The sequence below is a fragment of the Homo sapiens genome, chromosome 14, assembly GCF_000001405.40.
Source record: "Homo sapiens chromosome 14, GRCh38.p14 Primary Assembly".
NCBI classification, from domain to species: domain Eukaryota; kingdom Metazoa; phylum Chordata; class Mammalia; order Primates; family Hominidae; genus Homo; species Homo sapiens.
Genome location: NC_000014.9, coordinates 77,398,904 through 77,417,665, shown reverse-complemented (window position 1 = coordinate 77,417,665; position 18,762 = coordinate 77,398,904). Strand labels below are relative to the sequence as shown.

The 18,762-nt window shown below is 41.8% G+C and overlaps 1 protein-coding gene across 6 annotated transcripts in view; it reads left to right on the top strand.

Moving 5' to 3' along the window:
* The window catches only part of NOXRED1 (NADP dependent oxidoreductase domain containing 1), a 31,993-nt gene that overhangs the window by 8,348 nt on the left and 4,883 nt on the right, over window positions 1–18,762 (top strand). For 4 of the 6 annotated variants that reach the window (XM_011536428.4, XM_005267330.5, NM_001394980.1 and 1 more), the window contains 4 exons: window positions 3,539–3,732; window positions 10,021–10,201; window positions 10,791–10,942; window positions 11,531–11,753. In XM_011536428.4, the coding sequence (XP_011534730.1) occupies window positions 3,539–3,732; window positions 10,021–10,201; window positions 10,791–10,942; window positions 11,531–11,753 (750 nt within the window). The remainder of the gene's footprint in view (window positions 1–3,538; window positions 3,733–10,020; window positions 10,202–10,790; window positions 10,943–11,530; window positions 11,754–18,762) is intronic. The other 2 variants (XM_011536429.4, XM_017020969.3) reach the window with 2 other exon arrangements.

Here is an 18,762-nt window from a genome sequence, read left to right as displayed (position 1 = left end):
TGTTAGGACACATATAGGCTGAAAGTCAGACCATAGAGAAAGATAATTCCACGTAAATGGTAACCAAAAAAGAACAGGAGTAGTCATACTTGTATCAGACAAAATAGGTTTTAAGTCAAAAACTGTCATGAGAGACAAAGAATGACATGATGATAAAAAGACCAATTCACCAGGAAGACACAACAATTATATATGTACTTAACATCAGAACATCCACATATATGAGGCAAATATTGACATAACTGAAGGTATACAATTATAGTAGGAGATTTTAATACCCAACTTTCAATAATGGATAGAACAACCAGACAAAAGGTTAGTAAGGAAACAGAAGACTTGAACAACATGACACACCAATTAGAACCTAATGGACAAGTACATAACACTCCACTCAGCAGCAGAATACACGTTCTTTTCAAGTGCACATGGAACATTTTCCAGGATAGATCACGTTAGGTCACAAAATAAGTCCTAACAAATTTAAGAAGATTCAAATCATACCAACCGTCTTTTTTTTTTTTTTTTGACCATAATAGAATGATACTAGAAATAGCAGAAGAAAAACTAGAAAGTTCACAAATATGTGGAAGTCAACACAACTCTTGAACAACCAATGAATCAAACAGGAAATCACAAGGAAAATTTGAAAATATCTTAAGTGAAAATGAAAACAACATACCAAAACTTATGGGTTGCAACAAAAGCAGTACTATGAGCAAACTTTATAGGGGTAAATGCCTACGTTAAAAATAAGAAAGGGCCGCCCCTACTGGGAGGTGAGGAGCCCCTCTGCCCGGCCAGCCGCCCCGTCCGGGAGGGAGGTGGGGGGGTCAGCCCCCCGCCCGGCCAGCCGCCCTGTCCGGGAGGTGAGGGGCGCCTCTGCCCGGCCGCCCCTACTGGGAAGTGAGGAGCCCCTCTGCCCAGCCACCACCCCGTCTGGGAGGTGTACCCAACAGCTCATTGAGAACGGGCCATGATGACAATGGCGGTTTTGTGGAATAGAAAGGGGGGAAGGGTGGGGAAAAGATTGAGAAATCGGATGGTTGCCGTGTCTGTGTAGAAAGAGGTAGACATGGGAGACTTTTCATTTTGTTCTGTACTAAGAAAAATTCTTCTGCCTTGGGATCCTGTTGATCGGTGACCTTACCCCCAACCCTGTGCTCTCTGAAACATGTGCTGTATCCACTCAGGGTTGAATGGATTAAGGGCGGTGCAAGATGTGCTTTGTTAAACAGATGCTTGAAGGCAGCATGCTCCTTAAGAGTCATCACCACTCCCTAATCTCAAGTACCCAGGGACACAAACACTGTGGAAGGCCGCAAGGTCCTCTGCCTAGGAAAACCAGAGACCTTTGTTCACTTGTTTATCTGCTGACCTTCCCACGCTATTGTCCTATGACCCTGTAGATTGCTGTCTACAGATGCACTGCAATCCTTATCAAAATCCCAATGACATTTTTCATGAAGATAGAAAAAAAATCCAAAAATTGATATGGATGAAGCTTGAGGACATTATGCTAAGTGAAATTAGCCATGTACAAAAAGACAATACTGCATAATTCTACTTATATGAGGTATCTAAAGTAGTGGAACAGAAAGTAGAATGGTAGTTTCCAGGGGCTGGGGAGAGAGAAAAATTGTATAGAGTTTCAGGTCGGGTGTGGTGGCTCATGCCTATAATCCCAGCACTTTGGGAGGCGGAGGTGGGCGGATCACTTGAAGTGGGGAGTTCGAGACCAGCCTGGCCAACATGGAGAACCTCATCTCTACTAAAAATACAAAAATTAGCTGGGCGTGGGGTGTGGTGACACGCGCCTGTAATCCCAGCTAGTCAGTAGGCTGAGGCAGAGAATTGCTTGAATGTGAGAGGTGGAGGTTGCAGTGAGCTGAGATTGTGCCGCAGCACTCCAGCTCAGGCAATGGAGGGAGACTGTCTCGAAAAAAAAAAAAAAGCATATAGAGTTCCAGTTTTGCAAGATGGAAAGGTTCTAAAGAGCTGTTGCACAACTATATCTATATGTCTGTCTGTCTGTCTATCTATCTATCTATCTATCTATCTATCTATCTATCTATCTATCTATATGTATTTTCTTTTTTTGAGATCAAGTCTTGCTCTATTGCCCAGGCTGGAGTGCAGTAGTGGATCTTGGCTCACTGCAACCTCCACCTCCCGGGTTCAAGAGATTCTCCTGCCTCAGCCTTCTGAGTAGCAGAGACTACAGGTTTACACCATCATGCTGGGCTAATTTTTATATTTTTAATAGAGATGGGGTTTCACCATGTTGGCCAGGCTGGTCTTAAACTTTTGACCTCAAGTGATCCACACGCCTTGGCCTCCCAAAGTGCTGGGATTACAGGCATCAGCTACCATGCCTAGCCACAATGTGCATATAATTAACACAACTGTACTGTGCACTTTAAAAATGGTTATGATGGTGAAGTTCATGGTGTGTGTGTGTGTGTGTGTGTGTGTGTGTGTGTGTGTTTTCCTGAGACAGGGTCTTGCTCTGTCACTCAGGCTGGAGTACAGTGGCACGAGCACAGCTCACTGCAGCCTCAAACTCCTGGGCTCAAGCAATCCTCCCACCTCAGCCTCCTGGGTAGCTGGGACTACAGGTGTGCACCACCATACCTGGCTAATTCTTGTATTTTTTGTAGAGACGAGGTCTTACATGTTGCCCAGGCTGGTCTCAAACTCCTGAGCTCAAGTGATCTGCCTGCCTTGGCCTCTCAAAGTGCTGGGATTATAGATGTGAGCCACCGTACCCAGCATGTGTTTTTTAACCACAATAAAAAAAAAAATTGAAAGCTGTCTGCACAGAAACAAACAAAACATGAGGGGACTGGCCCACAATGTGTTATAGACATTACAGTATGCTGTATAATAGTGGCTGTTCACAGTGGTGTCCTGAGCCAGTGAAATGATTAAATATTCAGACTGTTTAACCAGGCAAGCATAATACATGTAACAAAGTATGTTCATTTAAAACATTTTAAATTTTGGTCCCTTGAAAAGGGTTATACTTTTGTTTCTGGAAAATTAACTCAGGAGGAACATTTCATTCCCTAGTGAGGCTGGATAAATGACACACAGTTGAAATGTCTTATCTCCGAAGTACTTAAGGTGCCACCAAGCACCTTAAATGACAAAGCAGAAAATGTCAGAGAATGACAGTTAAGAAGAACTAGGCCGGGTGCGGTGGCTCTCGCCTGTAATCCCAGCACTTTGGGAGGCCAACACGGGTGGATCACGAGGTCAGGAGATGGAGACCATCCTGGCTAATACAGTGAAACCCTGTTTCTACTAAAAATACAAAAAATTAGCCGGGAGTGGTGGCAGGCACCTGTAGTCCCAGCTACTCGGGAGACAGGCAGGAGAATGGCGTGAACCTGGGAGGCGGAGCTTGCGGTGAGTCAAGATCACCCCATTGCACTCTAACCTGGGCGACAAAGCAAGACTCTGTCTCAAAAAAAAAAAAAAAAAAGAAAAACTAGTGTGTGCATGTATTTATGTACGTGTCTGTGTGTTCATTCTCCAGAGCATCATTAAATAAGAATCAAAGTTCCAGACATCTCTCAATTGGCTCCCTTAATTCAGCCACTCCTGAAGAGTTTAAGGTGGGCATCATTGGAGGTGGCCACCTTGGGAAGCAGCTGGCTGGCACACTGCTGCAGCTTGGCCCCATCCCTGCTGAAAGCCTGCGGATCTCCACTCGGAGGCCAGAGACTCTGGGTGAGGAGCAGTGTGTGGTAGAAAGGGGGCTTGGTTGTGCTGTGTAGGTGTCAACAAAGCCATTTTGAAAGGGTCCTCCAAAGAGGAATCCTTGCATACAGCGTGTGGAGTTCTCAGCTTGCTAGCCCTAAGAAAGGTTAGAAGCATGGCCTTTTCTCCTGTTCTTTAAAGCGACTTTTTTTCTCCATGTATGTGTTTTATATCCATGTCTCCTCCCTGTGCCCTTGGTGGTGAAGTATCTTTCCAGATCTTTGATACAGGGAAGCTTTCCATACAGAGTTCAGATCTTCTAACTGAATCAGTTAGGGTCTGGTTGGGTGTTAAACAGTTCCAGGCATTTGCAGTTGGCCTTATATTTTTAAAAATGACATTTACTGACTTTAAAAAAATGTTTTGTGGTCGGGCGCGGTGGCTCACGCCTGTAATCACAGCACTTTGGGAGGCCAAGGCGGGCAGATGACGAGGTCAAGAGATTGAGACCATCCTGGCCAACATAGTGAAACCCTGTCTCTATTAAAAATACAAAAATTAGCTGGGCATGATGGTGCGTGCCTGTAGTCCCAGCTACTCAGGAGGCTGACGCAGGAGAATTGCTTGAACCCAGGAGGCAGAGGTTGCAGTGAGCTGAGATCACACCACTGCACTCCAGCCTGGAGATAGAGTAAGACTCCGTCTCAAAAAAAAAAAAAAAAAAGTTTTGTAATGATTCCATTTATGGTGATAGAAATCAGAACAATGATTTCTTCTGGGGAGATAGACTGAGAAAGTCCCAAAGCAACTTTTTCTGGGGAGATGAAAATGTTTTATATCTTGAGAGAGAGGTATGGGTTAAATGGGTGTATGCTTTTGTCAAAACTGATCAAACTGTACACTTCATATCTGTGTTTTGCATTATATGTAAATTATACTTCAATAATAAAAAATGTAAAATAATATGCATATTGTAGAAAATTTGTCTACAAGGAAGGATACAACTACCTATAATCTACTCGGGTTATTTCCTTCCCGTGTTTTTTTTTTCTCTAATTATATCAGTAATCGACACTGTATACAGTTGTTTGTATTCTGTTTTTTTTTACATAATGTATCATGAGCATATTCTCGTATCGTTTAACATTTTTTGAAATAATGATTTGCCCACACCTGTAATCCCAGTACTTTGGGAGGCCGAGGTGGGCAGATCACCTGAGGTCAGGAGTTTGAGACCAGCCTGGCCAACATGGTGAAACCCAGTCTCTACTAAAAATACAAAAATTAGCCAGGTGTAGTGGTGGGTTCCTGTAGTCCCAGCTACTCAGGCGGCTGAGGCAGGCAAATCACTTGAACCCAGGAGGCGGAGCTTGCAGTGAGGTGAGATCACATCATTGCACTCCAGCCTCAGCAACGGAGTAAGACTCTGTCTCAATTAATCAATCAATAAGAAATAATGATGTTAAGCCCCTCCACTTTCCCACAGTAGAAGGTTACCCCAGCAGGCTTTGAGCACAGTCTCTTGCATCTCCCTAGCAGGGTGTGCTTGCTGTACCTGGTGTTTGGATGCACAGACTATGTAGTTGTGCCCAGCAGTGGCTAAGACCACTAGACACCCTACACTATTCTTCCTTTCTCTGTTTTCATCTCAGGATTTAAAATTTTAATTATATTAGTAAGAGATTAATGTAAAAAAATAGATTTTAAGGTTGTATAATATCCCAAAGTATGGATGTACCATAATTTATGTAACTATGCCTTATTTAGTTGAACTTCCTTGTACATAATTTTCCAAATAAAGTTATTAGGCCAAAGAATTGGTACAGCTTTATTAAATTTTTTTTTTTTTTTTTTTTTTTTTTAGACTGAGTCTTGCTCTGTCACCTAGGCTGGAGTGCAGATCGTGGAGAGCACGATCTCGGCTCACTGCAACCTCTGCCTCCCGGGTTCAAGCGATTCTCCCGCCTCAGCCTCCTGAGTAGCTGGAATTACAGGCATACGCCACCACACCCAGCTAAATTTTTTTGCATTTTTAGTAGAGACGGGGTTTCACCATGTTAGCCAGGCTGGTCTTGTACTCCTGACCTCAGGTGATCTGCCTGCCTCGGCCTCCCAAAGTGCCGGGATTACAGGCGTGAGCCACTGCACCTGCCCCTAAAATATTATTTCTATACAATAAATGGCACACAGTTAAAAGAGTACAATTTGATGTTTTGACACGTATACAACTGTGAAACCATCACAAGGTAATGAACGTATCCCATCACCCCCAAAAGTTGCCACTTGTCTTTGGTAATCCCTTTCTGTCCACTTCCCTGAAGCTCTCCACCCATGAAACCAACAATCTGATTTCTGTCACCATAGATTAGTGTGCATTTTCTAGAATTTTATCTAAATGGAATCATACAGTTTGTAGTGTTTTTTTAGTCTAACTTCTTTCACACTGCATAATTTGTTTGAAATATATCCAAGTTTTTTTTTTTTTTTTTTTTTTGAGACAGAGTCTCACTCTGTCACCCAGGCTGGAGTACAGTGGTGTGATCTCGGCTCACGGCAACCTCAGCCTCCCGGGTTCAAGCGATTCTCCTGCCCCAGCCTCCCAAGTAGTTGGGATTACATGCGCTCACCACCATGCCCAGCTAATTTTTTGTATTTTTAATAGAGATGGTGTTTCATCATGTTGGCCAGGCTGGTCTCCAACTCCTGACCTCAAGTGATCCTCCCACCTCAGCCTCCCAAAGTGCTGGGATTACAAGCGTGAGCCACCATGCCCAGCTGAAATATATCCACGTTTTTAATGTATCAATATCCTTTTTTATTTCTGAGTAGTATTTCCCTGCATGATTATTCCACAGTTTATTTATTTGGTTGACTTAGGCTGTTTGCAGTTTCTGGCTATTACAAATAAAGCTGCCATGAATACATGTATATAAGTGTTCATGTAGGCAACTACTTTCATTTTTCTTGGGTAAATATGTGGCAGTGAAATGGCTGGGTCATGTGGTAGGTATATCTTTAAAATTTAAAGAAACTTCTAATGTATTTTTTCAAATTGACCTCCCAAAAGGTTTTCAGGTATACTTTTTTACCAACATTGCATAAGAACACCCATTTCACTACACACAGGTCAGTGCTGGGATCATTTTTAACATCACCATTTTAATATACTTTAAATTATTTTCTTGTTTTAATATGTCTTTCATTAATCAATAGAAGAGTTTTATTTTCTTAGGTTTATTACTATGTCATTTTTTCTGAGGTGCTTCTGACCATTTTTTCTGTTGGTGTGCCTGTATTTTTCTTACTTACTTTATTTATGTATTTATTTATGTATATATGTATTTATTTATTTTGAGATGGAGTCTCACTTTGTCACCCAGGCTGGAGTGTAGTGGCATGATCTCGGCTCACTACAACCTCCCTGCCTCCCAAGCTCAAGTGATTCTCATGCCTCAGCCCCTCACATACCTGGGATTACAGGCACACACCACCATGCCCAGCTAATTTTTGTATAATATTTTAGTAGAGACAGGGTTTTGCCATGTTGGCCAGGCTGGTCTCGAACTCCTGGCCTCAAGTGATCCATTTGCCTTAGCCTCCCAAAGTGCTGGGATATAGGTGTGAGCCACAGTGCCCAGGTTTATTTTTCTTATTGATTTGTAATGTTTTTTTCTTTTTTTCTTTTGGTTTATAAATAGAGACAGGGTGTCACTCTAATGCCGAGGCTAGTCTTAAACTGCTAGGCTCAACCAGTCCTCCCACTTCACCCTCTGAAAGTGCAGGTATTGCAGGAGTAAGTCACCACACCTGGCCATTTTTTTTTTCCTATATTCCTAAGGAAACTAAAAAAAAAATCTTACCAACTGGGCATGGTGGCTCATGCCGGTAATCCCAGCACTCTGAGAGACTGAGTCAGCTGCATCACTTGAGGCCAGGAGTTTGAGACCAGCCTGGCCAACATGATGAAACCCCATCTCTGCTAAAAATACAAAACTTAGCCAGGCATGATGGCACATACCTTCGAATCCCAGCTACAGGGGAGGAATGAGAATTGCTCGAACCCAGGAGGCAGAAGTTGCAGTGAGCCAAAATTGTACCACGCACTCCAGCCTGGATGACAGAGCAAGACTCTGTCTCAAAAAAAAAAAAAAAATCTCAAGGTATATATCTTTATCCCATCAATAGGACTAATATATGTGATATTTCAACAAAGTATATATATTCTTTGCAAAGCAATATATTTATTAGAATAAAATTATAGTTGTAAAATATCACTATGTGTTGTGTAAGGAAACAATAATTCAAAATGCTCAACATCAGCTTCTATGCACATGAAAAGAATGAGAACAACACAGGAGAGAATGATAGATAGGCCTGTTTTCTAAACTTTGTCCTGTTGTATTAGTCTGTTTTCACACTGCTATAAAGATACTGTCTGAGACTGGGTAATTTATAAACAAAAGAGGTTTAATTGACTCACAGTTCTGCATGGCTGTGAAGGCCTCAGGAAACTTACAGTCATGGTGGAAGGTGAAGCAGAAGCAGGCACCTTCTTCACAAGGTGGCAGGAGAGAGCACACAGGGGAAAGTGCCATGTTTAAACCATCAGCTCTCATGAGAACTCCCTCGCTATCATGAGAACAGCATGGGGGAAACTGCCCCCATGATCCAATCACCTCACACCAGGTCCCTCCCTCAACACGTGGGGAGTACAATTCGAGATGATATTTGGGTGGGGGCACAGAGCCAAACCAAATCATCTGTCTTTCTTCCAGGTTTATCAGTATCTAGATAACCTTAGCATTACATTTGCCATGTACTCTCAGTGGTTAACATAAGAAGTCACTCTCCAATGTCTGTTATATTCTGTTTTCCAATGACATTTATGACATACCACCAGATGTGAGTGAACACTTTAGGTTTATACTTTTGAAAATCCATATTGCCTCATGCCCATAATCCCAGCACATTTGGGAGGCTATGGCAGGGGGATCACTTGAAGCCAGGAGTTGGAAACCAGCCTGGATAACAGTGAGATCCCATCGCTAGCCAAAAAAAAAAAAAAAAAAAATTAACTACCAGTGAGTGTTTTTATGCAACTACATGAGTTATCAGTCTTTCTTCATTTATAGATATCCTAATAAAATTAATTTGTATATACTTTACAGAAACTGTTAAATCTTTGCAAACCCTTCTCAGCCTCTGATTTATACCTTCCACTCTCCTAGTCTTTTCCACCACCTCAAGCCAGCAGCTCTGTAACTTTGGACAAGTCATATAACTTCTTGAATCCTCAGTCTCATCTGTAAAATGGGACTGCTACTCGTTTCTGCTTCATAAGGTCCTTGTGGGGGTTACACCTTAGAAACTGTAAAGTCCTTTGTACATTATCTGACACATGGTTATCCTGCAGTACATTGGAGTAAAAGACTTCTCTGAGATTTTTTTTCTTCCTAAAAAAAAAGTCTGGGCAGCACATAGGGCTCATGCCTGTAATCCCAGGACTTTGGGAGGCGGAGGTGGGAGGATCACTTGAGTCCTGGGGTTTGAGGCCAACCTAGGCAACATAGTGAGACCTTGTCTCTACACAAAATAAAAAAATTAGCTGGGCATGGTCACACTCACCAGTGGTCCCAGCTACTTGGGAGGCTGAGGCGGGAGGATCCCTTGAGCTCAGGAAGTTGAGGCTATAGTAAGCCATGATCACACCACAGGTGACAAAGCAAGACCCTGTCTTAAAAAAAAATTGGAAAAATTCCAGCACTTGATCTAAAAGTAAGATAAAGGTGAATTATAGGCCAGGCGTGGTGGCTCACGCCTGTAATCCCTGCACTTTGGGCGGACGAGATGGGCGGATCATCTGAGGTTGGGAATTTGAGACCAGCCTGGCCAACATAGTGAAACCCCGTCTCTACTAAAAATACAAAGACTAACTGGGCATGGTGGCGCATGCCTGTAATCTCAGCTACTTGAGCAGCTGAGGCAGGAGAATCGCTTGAACCCGGGAGGCGGAGGTTGCAGTGAGCCGAGATTACGCTAGTGTACTGCAGCCTGGGCGTCAGAGTGAGACTCCGTCTCAAAAAAAAAAAAAAAAAAGATGAATTATAATTTCAAGTACTACTGCTGCTTTAGTAATAGAGTTAGGGCATTGCTGCGTGGCTTTTAGAAGGTCTGTAGGAAGGAATATCTTCTGATTTATGGAGCAATAAGATGGGTTGATTTACTGAGCTAAAATAATGATCACCCTCTCCCCATAGTTGATGTTCAGGTCAAACTCTTTAGTACTGTGCTCTTCCTGTCTTCCTTTATCCCTCCCAGGTGAGCTCCAGAAGCTGGGAATCAAATGCTTTTACCATAACGCTGATCTGGTGAGTTGGGCCGATGTGATATTCCTCTGCTGCTTGCCGTCTCAGCTGCCTAATATCTGCGTAGAAATTTACACCAGCCTTGAGAAGGCCAGCATTGTGTACAGCTTTGTAGCTGCCATCCCACTACCCAGGTATCTTGTTAGGGTGAGAATGGAACTGGCACAACTGCTCTGTCTCCTTATCTCTGACTTCTGCCTCCCACCTCCACTGTAGCCCCTATCTCTTAGAGTTGGTTGTTTCCAGTAATAAGGAGGAAGCAGCTTTATCTGTAGAAGAACATAGTTAGCCAATCTTTCTCGTAACTTCCCTACTTACCCACAAATAGTAACCACAAACCATTTTTGTTGCTGTACAAAGGTTTAAAATTGCAATAGAACATTTATTCCCATTACTTGAACACTGAAGTATTCTCCTTGTGCATCAATGAGAAGAGAAACCATCGGTCAATAACATGAAAAGTTACTGAAAGTATGTGTCAAATATTATTTCTGCACACTTAGTTTCTAGCCCAGTGCCTAGCACATAACATTCAATAAGTAAGGATTTGTTAGGTGGATGAACAGTCCAGTTAATTAGTGCTCTCAGCACAGACCCAGACCCGCATTTATCTCTGAGCTGTGTGGGGGAGTCTGTTGATGGGGTTGGATGTAAACACAGTGGGTTATGTCGTCATTTATTCCAGTCCTGGCATTGCACTCCCTGTCTTGGCTTTACTTCCAGGCTGAAACTACTGTTGAACCACACCAATATCTTGCGGCCTCAGTATCAGTATGATGAAGATTCTGTCAGCGTCTGGGGGGCCAATAAGGGAGTCATAGCTGCTCTCCAAGATCCTACGATTCTTCAAGCTACCTGTCCCTACAGTCCTGCTGGTCACGGCTCAACATATTTCTGGCATTCTTTTGAAAATTACTTTCCTGTTGGCCCATTGCTATCTTATTAAATCAATCTCTCTCTCTCTGTGTGTGTGTGTGTGTGTGTGTGTGTGTGTGTGTGTGTGTGTGTAAGGCACAAGGTACTGCAGGAGAGCTACTTAGGAAGAGCTGAGAAGCTTGATCATTTGGACTTCTTAAGGACAAATTAAAACCAAAAGAGGAGATAGCTTATTTCAATAGGAGGATGTAATGTTGGACTAAAATGGCTTTTCCCTGTTCTAATCTTGTAGTTTTCCCCAGTTCCTTCTCCATATTAGCAACGACTATTCCAGAGACACTTTTTGCCATTAGCAATGTCTACATTAGTTGTATCTGTCCACTTTTGGGATGGTCAACACATGATGTGTTATAAAGGGCACAAGTAGCACTTGTGGCTCAGGAAGGAATGTTTGCTTATCTTGTGGTTCATATTACCAATCTGTCTTGGAAAAAAGGCGGCTATTCACTGTCAGGGGTTTATTCTAGGTTTTCTGCAACTCATTTTTGGTGGTGCTAACTGGTATTTACCTTCTCATTGATGTGTAGGGGGAATAATCCTCAATATCAAGTGGTTGGAGGGAGTGTTCTATGCGGCCCTAAACATATGCACAGCAAGAAACATGGCCCACTCCCAAGTGCTGCAGCTTCTGAGTGAACTCTTTCTCTCCGTGCACTTTGAAGACTGTGGGAAAGACACAGCATCTTGCCCAAAGTTGCAATTAACAGATTTTGTCAGCAAAGCCTATGGCAAGAATTTGTCTCAGGAAAGGTAAGGGCATTGGACAGCTGGCCATTCTCATTTCTCCCAGACTCTTCTCTTAGTTAATGCTTTTTTTCTTTTATCCTTTCATGTTCTCTTTAAACATTGATAAAAATTATACCTTTTTGTAAAGAATTTCAACTAGTGGAAAAGTAAATGCCATCCTTTGCCTTCCAAATCCCATTTCATAGATTTCACCTCTAACAGTTTTTATATTTTTATCTATGCATTTACAAACATTTATATTGTTATAATGTATATGCATATCTATTCCTATATATACAGTGTTAGACACATGGGAACTATATATTCTGCTTTTTTACTTACTGTATCACAGCTACCATTCTATGTTAGTACAATCATAGCTACTTCATTTATGAGCAGCTACCTAGGTGTCCACCGGACACATTTATTCCATTAAATTTATTCACTCCTTTTCCACTTGATAGAGATGTAGTTCCTCCTCTCATCCCCAATTTTGCATTACGGGCTGCTTTGACATTCTTTATTTTATTTTATTTTATTTTGTGAGACAGTCTTGCTCTGTCACCCAGGCTGGAGTGCAGTGGCACGATCTCGGCTCACTGCAACCTCTGCCTCCCGGCTTTAAGTGATTCAAGTGCCTCAGCCTCCCGAGTAGCTGGGATTACAGGCATGTGCCACCATGCCTGGCTAATTTTTGTATTTTTAGTAGATACAGGGTTTCGCCATGTTGGCCAGGCTGGTCTCCAACTCTTGACCTCAAGTGATCCGCCCGCCTTGGCCTACCAAAGTGCTGGGATTACAGGTGTGAGCCAGTGCGCCTGGCCTGCTTTGAACATTCTTGTACTTTGTGCACTTGTACCAGTATTTCGGTGGCATATGTGAAAGAAGCTCTGGGTCAAAGTTTATGCATATTTTATATTTGATAGGTGTTCCCAAATTGCTTATAAAAAATGTGGTACTTGTTTACATTTCTACCAACAGCATATGAGGGTGCCACTTCTTTAATATCTGATAACTATCAAATAAATATTTTTGATCTTTGATAATCTAATATGCAAAGATTATTGCTCTTATTACTAGTGACTTCCATGTCACTAGATCCACTGGATGCTTTAAACTCTTTTTCTTCCTTAATTATTGAACATGCCATCCTTCTTGAAGCAGTCTCTTCTCTAGGCTGTCATGATCCCTCCCGTTCTCCTCATTTTCTTCCTGACTCCCCGGCCCCTCCTTGGCTAGCTTCTCCTCTGCCTCACCCTTAAATCTGGGTGTTTTCAGGGCTCTATCCTAGGCCCTTTTCTTTTCATGCTATACTTCTTTTCATTCTATACTTTGTTCCCGGTGATCTTTTCCACTTTGGGGACTTAGGTTCCCATCTTTTCACTGACAGCATATAACTCTGTATCTCTAGCCTAAATGTCAATGCTGTGCCTAGGTAACTGTGTATTCACCATCTCCACTCAAACTCACCATGTCCAAAAACATACCTGCTCTTAAACCTGCTCTTCTGATGTTTCTTACCTAATTATATGCTGCTTCACCAAGTTGTTCAAGTCAGAACCCTAGATGTAATCCTAGATTCTTCTTCCTCATCTTTCGTATTCCAATCAATCATCAATGGACAGTTTATTCTCTATGCCTGTGATTCACGTTTGGTTTGGAGATTTTTCTTCTTCATTATCCCAGGGATTCCCCTCACTTTTCTGTTGTATTGGATCTCTTGTTTCCTGTCATGGAAACATCTCTTGTTTCTCTCTCATGAATTACTTCTTAATTTGGGGGGAACATGTCCTGTAGTACCTTCCTGAGAAAGGGTGCATTGAAATAATTTTCAGAGACTCTTTGAGATGTTTTTATTCTAGCGTTCTATTTTATTGAGAACATAGCCAGGTATAGAATTGCAGGTTGGAAATAATTTTCCCTTAAAATTTTGAGGGATTGCATCTACAGCCATACCACCCTGAACGTGCCTGATATCATCTGATCTCAGAAGCTAAGCAGGGTCGGGCCTGGTTAGTACTTGGATGGGAGAATTTTGAGGCATTGCTTCATTGTCTTTCAGCTTCTAGAGTTGCTACTGAGAGTTACAGTGCCATTCTAATTCTTAATCCTTTGTCTGAAACCTGTTTCTTTCCTTTCTGGAAGCTTATGAGATCTTTTGACCTCAGTATCTTGAAATTTTATGATGTGCCATGATGTAGGTCTATTTTAATTAAATGTTGAGCACTTGGTGGGCCTGTTATTTCCATTAACTTTTTTGTTTTTATTTTTATTTTTTTGATAGAGGGTCTTACTCTGCTGCCCAGGCTGGAATGCAGTGGTGTGTAATGTTGGCTCACTGCAACCTCCACCTCCTGGGCTCACGTGATCTTCCCACCTCAGCCTCCCGAGTAGCTGGGACTACAGGCACACACCACCACGCCTGGCTAATTTTTGTATTTTTAGTGATAAGTCTATCAAGCAATATAGTGTCTGGGATTGCCTTCAAAATAATCCAATAGATGGGGGTAAAGGAGTAGGGGTGGGGTTTTGTATGAGAAAAGATTAGCTATAAATTGATAATTGTTAAATCTGAGTGATAGGCATATGGAGTTTCGTTATACTATTTTTTGTTATATTCTTTTTTACTTAATACTATTCTATGTTTCATTCTATTTTGTTTTAAAATTTCCATAATAAAAACAAAAGGTTTCCTTCTAGTAGTTTGTCAACCCTAATTTACTCATCCCAATTTTATTCTTCTCAAGTTTTAAGAAAATCTATTTCAAATTTTATCAGTTTCCCTTTTAAGCATTTAATGAGATTTTTGTTTCTCCTCTCCTTTAAGATTGTAATATTTAATTAATGTTGTAAACTATATAGTTTTCCTGTCAAATTTTCCTTGTATTCTTTTTTTTTTCTGAGACGGAGTTTCACTTCTGTTGCCCAAGCTGGAGTGCAATGGTGTGATCTCGGCTCACTGCGATCTCTGCCTCCTGGGTTCAAGCGATTCTCCTGCCTCAGCCTCCCAAGTAGCTGGGATTACAGGCATGCACCACCACACCCGGCTAATTTTTTGTGTTTTTAGTAGAAATGGGGTTTCACCATGTTAGCAGGCTGGTCTCAAACTCCTGACCTCAGGTGATGCCCACCTTGGCCTCCCAAAATACTGGGATTACAGGCATGAACCACCATGCCTGGCCTGATGTGTAGCATCTTTTCATATGCTTATTGACCATTTGTATATTGTCTTTGGTGAAGTGTCTGTTAAGGTCTCTGGCCCATTTTTAAATTGGTTTGTGTTCCTATTGTTGAATTTTTTTGAGACGGAGGTTTGCTCTTGTTGCCCAGGCTAGAGTGCAATGGCACGATCTCGGCTCACCGCAACCTCTGCCTCCCGGGTTCAAGTGATTCTCCTGCCTCAGCCCCCCGAGTAGCTGGGATTACAGGCATGCACCACCATGCCTGGCTAATTTTTGTATTTATATATTTTTAATAGAGATGAGGTTTCTCCATGTTAGTCAGGCTGGTCTTGAACTCCCGACCTCAGGTGATCCGCTCACCTTGGCCTCCCAAAGTGCTGGGATTACAGGCGTGAGCCATGGCGCCCGGCTCCTATTGTTGAATTTTAAGAGTTCTTTGTATGTTTTGGAAAACAGTCCTTTATCTGTCTTCTGCAAATATTTTCTCTAGTCTGTGGCTTATGTTTTCATTCTCTTGACAGTGTCTTTCACAAAGCAGAGACTTTTAGTTTTAGTTATTTAAATTCTTTAATTATGTCCACCTTGTCAATTGTTTTTTTCATGGATCATGCCTTTGGTGTTAACAACTATAAAGTCACTGCCAAAGCCAAGATCATCTAGATTTTCTCCTATGTTATCTTCCAGGAGTTTTATAGTTCTGCATGTGACACATTTTGACTTAACTTCTGTGAAGGGTGTAAGGTTTGTGTCTAGATTCATTTTTTCTTTTTTGCATGTAGATATCCAAGTGCTTCAGTACCATTTGTGAAGAGACTGTCTTTTCTCCATTATATTGCTTTTGCTCCTTTGTCAAAGAGCAGTTAACTATATTTATGCGGGTCTATTTCTGGGCTTTCTATTCTATTCCACTCTATTTGTCTTTCACCAATACTGCACTGTCATGATTACTGTAGCTTTAAAGGATGTCTTGAAGTTGGGTAGTGTTACTCCTCTGACTTTGTTCTTCCATTTCAATACTGAGTTGGCTATTCTGAGTCTTGTTTGTTGTTGAGACAAGGTCTTGCTCTGCTGCCCCAGCTGGGGTGCAGTGGCACGATCATGGCTCACTGCATCCTCAACCTTCTGGGCTCAAGCAATCCTCCCACTTCAGCTTCCTGAGTAGCTAGAACTACAGAACTACAGGTGCACACCATTGTGCCCAGCTGATTTTTTATATTTTTTTGTAGAGATGGGATCTTGCTATGTTGCCCAGGCTGGTCTCAAGCTCCTGGCCTCAAGTGATCCTCCTGCCTCAGCCTCCCAAAGTGCTGGAATTACAGGCATGAGCCGTCACACCCAGCCTGTTCTGAGTCTTTTGCTCTTCCATTTAAACTTTTTTTTTTTGAGGTGGAGTCTTGTTCTGTTGCCCATGCTGGAGTGCAGTGGCGCCATCTTGGCTCACTGCAACCTCTGCTTCCTGGGTTCAAGCAATTCTCTTGCCTCAGCCTCCCCAGTAGCTGGGATTACAGGCACCCGCCACCATGCCCAGCTAATTTTTGTATTTTAGTAGAGATGGGGTTTCACCATGTTGGCCAGGCTGGTCTCAAACTCCTGACCTCGTGATCCACCCACCTCGGCCTCCCAAAGTGCTGGGATTACAGGCATGAGCTGCTGCACCTGGCCCCATTTAAACTATAGAGTCAATTTTTCAATATCCACAAAATAATTTCCTGGGATTTTGATTGGCATTGCGTTGAATGTGTAGTTCAGTTGGGAAGAACTGGCATCTTTATAGTATTGAGTCTTCTTCTCCATGAACATGAAATCTCTATATTTATTTTGTTGTTTTTAGACTTCTCTCATCAGTTTCATAGTTTTCCTTATGTAGATCTTGCACATATTTCATTTGATTTATACCTAAGTATTTCATTTTGGGGGTTCTAATATAAATGGTAATGTGTTTTTAATTTTAAATTCCACTTGTTCATTGCTGGTATATAGAAAAGACACTGACTTTTGCATATTAATCTTGTATCCTACAACTTTGCAACATACATTTAAACATTTGCCCTATTGCTTCACTAAGCCATTCTAAGTCATAAGAGACTATTCCTGTAAATTGTGTATTCAGTGAAAGGCTCATCAAAAACTCAGAAGAATAAAACCGTTTGTCTCTTATCTACCTATGACCTGGAAACCCCCGCCCCACTTGAAGTTGTCCCACCTTTCCAGACCAAACCAATGTACATCTTACATATAGTGATTGATGTCTCCTGTATTCCTAAAATGTATAAAACCATGCTGTGCCCCGACTACCTTGGGCACATGTCATCAGAACCTCCTGAGGCTGTGTCACGGGCACATAGCCACAACCTCGGCAAAATAAACTTTCTAAATTGACTGATGCTTGTCTCAGATACTTTCTGGTTTACAGTGTTATCTGTTAGATCAGTTAGGAGTAAGAAAAACTAAAGTTATCTTCACTTGTTCCTTCTTCAGTGCTCTTCTTTTCTTTATGTAGATCCGTGTTTCTGACCTATATCATTTTCCTCCTAAGGAACTTCTTTGAACATTTCTTGCAAGACAGGTCTACTGGCAACAAATTCCCTCAATTTTTGTTTGGTAAAGTCTTTATTTCTCCTTCACTTTAGAAGGATAACTTTGCACAGAGTTCTAGGTTAGTGATTTTTTTTCTTCCTGCACTTTAAATATTTCACTGCACTCTCTCCTTGCTTGCATGATCCTAAAAATCAGCTTTCTTATCTTTGTTTTTCTATGGGTATGGTGTTTTTTTTCCCTCTGGCTTATCTCAAGATTTTTTGTTTTTCTGTAGTCTCAAAATGATATGTTTAGGTATAGTTTCTTGTGTGTTTTTGTTATTTATCCTGCTTGGTGTCTTCTTGAGCTTCCTAGATCTGTGGTTTGGTGTCTGACATTAATTTGGGGGAAATTCTCAGTCATTATTGTTTCAAATATTTCTTGTGTCCTTTCTCTCCTCCTTCTAGTCTCATTATGCGCATGTTACATCTTTTGTAGTTGTCCCACAGTCCTTGGATATTTTGTTCTGTATTTTTCGTCTTTGTTTTCTTTGCTTTTCAGTTTTGGAGGTTTCTGTTGAGATATCCTCAGATTCAGAGATTATTTCCTCGGCCATGAACAGTCTACTAATAGGGGCCTCAAAGATATTCTTCATATCTGTCACAGTGTTTTTAATGAGTAGTATTTATTTTTGGTTCCTGGAACTTCCATCTTTCTGCTTCCGTAGTCTGCCGTCTACTTTATCCATTAGATCCTTTAGCATATTAGTCATAGTTATTTTATTTTTTGAGACAGGGTCTTGCTTTGTTACCCAGGCCGGAGTGCAGTGGCATGATCACTGCTCACTGCAGCTACAATCTCCCGAGCTCAAGTGATCCTCCCACCTCTCCCGAGTAGCTGGACCACAGGCACATGCCACCATGCTTGGCTAGTTTTTTTTATTATTTGTAGAGACTGGGGTCTCACTTTGTTGCCCAAGCTTGAATTCCTGGGCTCAAACAATCCTCCCACCTCGGCCTCCCAGATTGCTGGGATTACAGGAGTCACCTCACCTGGCCTCAGTCATAGTTATTTTAAATTCCCAGTCTGATTATTCCAGTATTCCTCTCATATGTGGTTCTGATGCTTGTTCTACCTTTTCAAATTGTGGGTTTTGGTGGTTTTTTGTTTTTTGGCTTTTAGTATGCCTGTTAACTTTTTCTGGATAGTCAGACATGATGTACCAGGTAAAAAGAACTGCTGTAAATAGGCTTTTTTTTGTTTGTTTTTGAGACGGAGTCTTGCCCTGTTGCCCAGGCTGGAGTGCAATAGCGCGATCTTGGCTCACTGGAACC